Source organism: Homo sapiens, chromosome 14 (assembly GCF_000001405.40).
Source record: "Homo sapiens chromosome 14, GRCh38.p14 Primary Assembly".
NCBI lineage: Eukaryota > Metazoa > Chordata > Mammalia > Primates > Hominidae > Homo > Homo sapiens.
Genome location: NC_000014.9, coordinates 20,238,499 through 20,245,218, shown reverse-complemented (window position 1 = coordinate 20,245,218; position 6,720 = coordinate 20,238,499). Strand labels below are relative to the sequence as shown.

Sequence of the window (6,720 nt, the reverse complement as noted above, 5' to 3'; positions counted from 1 at the left end):
CTTTAAGTATATAGGTTTCCATGAGGATTGCAAAATATCTAAAAGATAACCAGAAAAGTATCCATAGTCAGGTTTGAAAGACAGGAAGGAGAAGAGAACAACGTGTACTCAGAGCCTCCTATATGTGTCTTTCTGTGCTATGGCTCTTACAGAAATGATCAGATTTAATTCTTACGACATTGTTACAAGGCATGAATTATACCCATTTTATAAAATAAGAAGTTAAGAATTTAAGTGTTAAATATCTTTCTCAAGTCGCATGGCAGAAGATGAGGTGAGGCTCTCTAGGTTGAAAGAACAGCCTAGGCCGGGCATGGTGGCTCATGCCTGTTATCACAGCACTTTTGGAGGCCGAGGTGGGTGGATCACCTGAGGTCAGAAATTCAAGACCACCCAGGCTAGCTTGGTGAAACACAGTCTCTACTAAAAATGAAAAATTATCCAGGCGTGGTGGGTCACGCCTGTAATCCCAGCACTTTGGGAGGCTGAGGTGGGTGGATCATGAGGTCAAGAGATCGAGACTATCCTGGCCAACATGGTGAAACCCCATCTCTCCTAAAAATACAAAATTAGCTGGGCGTGGTGGCTTGCACCTGTAGTCCCAGCTACTTGGGAGGCTGAGGCAGGAGAATTGCTTGAACCCAGGAGGCAGAGGTTGCGGTGAGCCGAGATTGCACCACTGTACTCCAGCCCATCGACGGAGTGAGACTTTGTCTCAAAAAAAAAAAAAAAAAATAGCCTAAGAAAAGGTGAAAAGATGATAGAATGGAATAAATAAAGTAACTGGCCAGACTAGAGCCAAGGGCTCATGTGGCAAAGAAATGGAAAACAAATGAAATAGATTTAGTGGGGATGTATTACGAAGGGTGTCGAGTGCCAGACAGAGGGATTTAGATGTATTGACTCTGAGGAGCAGATAGGAAAATTGGTGAATATGGGAGTGAAGATGGACATTCTTCTGAATTGCTTGAATTTATTACAACAATCACATATTATTGTTGTAAGTAAAAAAAATTGAGATAGAGATATTTAAAAAACATGTCTGAGGCCTTACCGTTTGCTGGGTATTGTGCCACTATTGATTCCCATCAGACAAAGACTCCTAGGAGCATACCTGTAGTTGAACAAAGTTGGGTTTATTGTCTTGTTGCAATGAGGAAGAAGATATACAATGATGAACCATGGGGCATGTCAGCAGGAGGGCATCTCATGTAGAAATTCCATTTTATCATTCTAATAAAGACAGGCTTTGAAAACTTTTAAGTGGATGTTGAAGACCAGTTAATTAAGGTTTAAAGAGTCAGTGCTGGAAACATATTTAAGCTGGGCACACTTCCAGGTAAAATATACAACCTCTAACTACTCAGACTGAGGACTGAAAGACTGCTAAAGAACTGACAACATCTCGACCTTGTTCTTCGTTAGAACTTGTAAGTATGGCACATCTTTGGCTCACGAATTTTGACGAATTCTCATTCCAAACAGGACATTTCTCAGAGCGAGTTTCATGTCCTTATTACGAAGAGTATAGATCAGAGGATTAAAAAGAGGAGTCGTTACTGAATATACCAGTGTGAGGATCTTCTGCAATAAAGTTGGGATCCCATATGTAGGACTTACATACATTACCATGACTGTCCCATAGAAAAGAGATACCACAACCAAATGAGAACCACAGGTAGAGAAGGCTTTTCTCCGACCAGCTGCAGAAGGGACCTGAAAAACAGCTGTTAGTAACAGGATATAGGATCGAAGAATGTACATACTAGTGAAAAAGAGGACAAGGGAGCTCTGAGTATAGAAAATACATTCAGTTATGGGAGCTGGGGCACAGGATAGAGCCATCAATGGGTCCATGTCACACAGGAAGTGATCAATGATATTAGGACCACAGAAGGGGAGTTGGGAGATGTAGAAAATGGGAATTGGGTATCCAAGGAATCCAATAAGCCAACAGAAAGACACCAGCTTACCACAGAACCTTACAGTCATGATGGCAGGGTACTGCAGTGGGTGGCAGATGGCCAGGTATCGATCATAAGCCATTACTGCCAGAAAGAGACATTCAGTTGTTCCCAGTGAAAAGAAGAAATAGAACTGGAGGAAGCACCCAGAAAATGAGATGGCCTTGGTCTTGGAGAGAATGTTGACTAGCATGTTAGGAATAGTGGAGGACACATACCAGATCTCAAGGAAGGCAAAATTTCCCAGCAGAAAGTACATGGGGGTGTGTAGTAGTGGGTTGCATCTCACTGCATAGATGATGGCTCCATTTCCCAGCAAGGTCAAGACATAAATCACCAAAAACAATGAGAAGAGGAAAATCTGAATCTTCCAGCAACCAGGGAATCCCAGGAGAATAAACTCTGTCACGATGTGTGTTGCTGACCTGTTCATGGGTCTTAAGTCTACAAAGAAGAAAGACATGAGTGTAATCCAAGTCTCTTGGAGTGTAATCCAATTGCTTGCTACGTATCTCAAGGATTTTACTGAGACGAGAACTTGAGGTATACAGGAAAATACATGAGATAATCTGAGACCAGGTGGGAATATGTCCTACCAAATTTTGAATTGATTGTGGTTCTCTGTGTTATTTTGCTAGAATCCAATGCAATCCAATGCAGCTAGAATTTTTGACACTGTAGGGAAAAGAGAGATCAGACTGTCACTGTGTCTATGTAGAAAGGGAAGACATAAGAGACTCCATTTTGAAAAAGACCTGTACTTTAAACAATTGCTTTGCTGAGATGTTAATTTGTAGCTTTGCCCCAGCCACTTTGCCCCAGCCACTTTGACCCAACCTGGAGCTCACAAAAACGTGTGTTGTATAAAATCCAGGTTTAAGGGATCTAGGGCTGTGCAGGATGTGCCTTGTTAACAAAATGTTTACAAGCAGTATACTTGGTAAAAGTCATCGCCATTCTCTAGTCTCAATAAACCAGGGGCACAATGCACTGTGGAAAGCTGCAGGGACCTCTGCCCTTGAAAGCAGGGTATTGTCTGAGGTTTCTCCCCATGTGATAGTCTGAAATATGGCCTCGTGGGATGAGAAAGACCTGACCGTCCCCCAGCCGGACACCCGTAAAGGGTCTGTGCTGACGTGGATTAGTAAAAGAGGAAAGCCTCTTGCAGTTGAGATAGAGGAAGGCCACTGTCTCCTGCTTGCCCCTGGGAACTGAATGTCTAGGTATAAAACCCGATTGTACATTTGTTCAATTCTGAGATAGGAGAAAAACCGCCCTATGGTGGGAAGCGAGACATGTTGGCAGTAATGCTGCCTTGTTATTCTTTACTTCACTGAGATACTTGGGTGGAGAGAACTATATATCTGGCCTACGTGCACATCCAGGCATAGTACCTTCCCTTGAACTTAATTATGACATAGATTCTTCTGCTCACATGTTTTTTGCTGACCTTCTCCTTATTATCACCGTGCTCTCCTACTACATTCCTTTTTGCTGAAATAATGAATATAATAATCAATAAAAACTGAGGGAACTCAGAGGCCGGTGCCGGTGCAGGTCCTTGGTGTGCTGAGTACCGGTCCCCTGGGCTCACTGTTGTTTCTCTATACTTTGTCTCTGTGTCTTATTTCTTTTCTCAGTCTCTCGTCCTACCAGACCAGAAATACCCACAGGTGTGGAGGGGCAGGCCACCTCTCCAGACACTAGTGGCAGAACCAGACAAATTTATTTTCTTTCTTTTCCTTGGATGCTTGAGAAGACCTTTTCAGCTTTTGATTTGTTTTTCCAATGTTGATTATGGGTTTTCTAGCACAAGTTCATCAATTTTCTCTTATTTAGCACAAGTTGTTAGAAAAGACATTTTGAGGATAACTGAAAAAAATAAAATTGGTTTAGATGTTTGAACAAAACAAAATAGATTGACTGCTGCATGGAGATACAACTCCATGATAATATTTTAAAAACATCTCTAACGAACGGCAGTGTTTATTTTTATGTTTTTTACACATACTATACAAAAAGGAACTATCTTACTTTTTGTAATCAGATACCATGTAGATGAAATAAGGAAAATGATGTTTTCTATACAAAAATTTAGTTTATTTAGTGAGCTTTTTCGGTGGTGAAAACAAAGGGATTTTCTAAAAGAATCTGAGATGAAATGGGGCTTCATCTGCAATCCTATGTATTAGAATTTTGTTTACTGAAAGGAAGGTAAGGACATTTTCAAATATTTGACTAGGTATGTACTTTTCAGTAGCAACAAGTTTATGTATTTAAGAATTAAATAAAATACACAAATGTGTTTAAACAACAGTAATCTTATACTTGATTAATACTTAAAATGTGCTGATTAAGTCTTAAAAAAGTGGTAGTTTTGGCTGGGCGTAATGTCTTATGCCTATAGTTCCAGCAATTTGAGAGGCCAAAGTGGGTAGATCGCTGAAGTCAGGAGTTTGAGACCAGCTTGGCCAACATGGTGAAAACCCTTGTCTGCTAAAAATACAAAAATTAGCTGGGTGTGGTGGTGCGTGCCTGTAATCCCAGCTACTTGGGAGGCCAAGCAGAAGAATTGCTTGAACTCAGGAGGTGGAGGTTGCAGTGAGCCGAGATCACACCATTGCACTCCAGCCTGGGTGACAGAGCGAGACTCCACCTCAAAAAAAAAAAAAAAAGAAGGTAGTTTCAATATTGAGTTTCTTGTTAAGTTTAGATCTCTTGTCTTGTTTATTGCAGGTCACCAGTCATAACTTTGTCAGAAATGTAAAAGAAAAATGTGAAAGGCAACAAAGAACACAGAAGTTGAAGGAAGGATCAGGTATTCTTGGGAACGAAGATTTGAATCTCAACATCACTAGTTCTTTGGTAGTTTTTAAGGATGCATAAAAAGGGAAATTTGGAGCATCTGAGTTCTAAAGTTGTCCAGCTTTCCAATCAATGCTGAATTTAAAAGGCATTTGTTTACCATCTTCCTTGAATAAGGTGCTCAATAGGTGATTTCCAGATTGTTGTTTACGAAGCATAAATACATCCCTTTCTCTGCTATACACAGGTCAGAGAACAAGTCCAGGCTCAGACTTAAATTGGGAACCAGAATTGTGAGATCTGAGCCTCCCGCCCTTTGTTCTGAATGCCTGCTTGATGAGAATAACAGTTTAGGACATTCTCCATTATACACTGACAACTTTACACTACACTTCGTCTTTTCTACTACCCTACTCTGCAAGTGCTTTATTAGCAGCAACATTGTTTTTTCTGAAGCCTTTGGAGAAGTGTAGATAAGTAATGGAATGATCAAAAGCTGGGGAGCTTAATAGAAAGACCCGAGTAATCAATTTCAGAGTTTTCGCATTGACGGAATAAACTGTTTCCACAAAGTTTTATATAACACCACCCTCCAAAGTCTCCAAAACGCTGTCTGGGAATAGTTAGGTAATTAGAATAGAATCTTCATTATTTTATGACACAAACATACTGTTTCTCCTGATTTTTGAGATATATCATTATTTGAGCTACAATCCTAGGAGACCAGCTCTTTCTTTTTCTTTTTCTTTTTTTTTTCTGAGACAGTCTCGCTCTGTCGCCGAGGCTGGAGTGCAGTGGCGCGATCTCGGCTCACTGCAAGCTCCACCTCCCGGGTTCACGCCATTCTTCTGCCTCAGCCTCCTGAGTAGCTGGGACTATAGGCGCCCGCCATCACGCCCGGCTAATTTTTTGTATTTTTAGTAGAGACGGGGTTTCGCCGTGTTAGCCAGGATGGTCTGGATCTCCTGACCTCGTGATCGGACTGCCTCGGCCTCCCAAAGTGGTGGGATTACAGGCATGAGCCACCGCGCCCGGCCGAAACCAGCTCTTTCATGTACTGTACTCCTTTCCAGTACAAGAAACTACCAACCAACCAATCAACCCACCAGTCCACCTACCATAAGTGTGATAGCTTGATTTAATAGCCTTCTGTTGAATGCCCCTCACTTAGTATATTGTCTTCCCAGGTGTCCTGAGAGAAGGAACACACCACCTGATTATTCCTGGAAAGTAAGATTGTTTTCAGAAAGATGGTTGTTAATGACCATAAAATCATAGAATTAGAAGAAATGGTATAATGATCTAACTTCATTTTACAAATGAGGCTCAGAGAGGGGCATGACTTTTTACCCAATAAATATGTGTCCTGGATTCACATATGGAACTTTTATACTATACTATTATACTGCCTCCTTTGAGTCTTTGCAGAGAAACAGTGCCTAATCAGATTTATAAAGTCAAAGAGACTCTGTAGCATATCATAGCAGTGGTTTCTTACCTACAATCATGGCTTTTCTGGCTCAGTTTGGAGACAGCGGTGCGCACGGCAGAAATGAGGCAGAATTGAGCATAACCTCAGCATCAAGCATCTCCTCTTCACTGGCTCTGTTGAGGAAAACTCCAGGTGAGGGCATTATATGTGGTTTATTGCCCTGCCTTCATTCCTGGAGACTCCAGAGGCTTTTCTCAGAATTTGCTGAGAGGTTTAACATGCGAATCAGTATTACATCTATGTTTTCACTCAGGGATTACTGTAAAGCCCTGTGTTTCTCCCCATATGGTTTCAGTGGCTTACCCAAGTTTCCCTGGAGTGCGTTCTCTTTCCAACACTGGGGCTCATCTATAATATATACAATAGATAGTATATATATATTTATATATAATAGATAGTATATATATTTATATATAATATATATACTATATATAGATTATATATAATATATAATAAATA

The 6,720-nt window shown here is 40.9% G+C and overlaps 1 protein-coding gene across 1 annotated transcript; it reads right to left on the bottom strand.

The window, feature by feature from the left end:
- Positions 1 to 869: 869 nt before the first annotated feature.
- On the bottom strand, positions 870 to 5,933 carry OR11H4 (olfactory receptor family 11 subfamily H member 4). The gene is made up of 2 exons (NM_001004479.2): positions 5,888 to 5,933; positions 870 to 2,408 (listed from the first exon to the last, which is right to left on the bottom strand). The coding sequence occupies exon 2, from the start codon at positions 2,395 to 2,397 to the stop codon at positions 1,453 to 1,455; it is 945 nt and encodes a 314-aa protein (NP_001004479.2). The 5' UTR covers positions 2,398 to 2,408; positions 5,888 to 5,933; the 3' UTR covers positions 870 to 1,452.
- Between the last annotated feature and the right edge of the window lie 787 nt (positions 5,934 to 6,720).

Bases quoted from the DNA above. Each gene is read 5' to 3' on its own strand.
- OR11H4 (NM_001004479.2), bottom strand. From the start codon at position 2,397: ATGAACAGGTCAGCAACACACATCGTGACAGAGTTTATTCTCCTGGGA.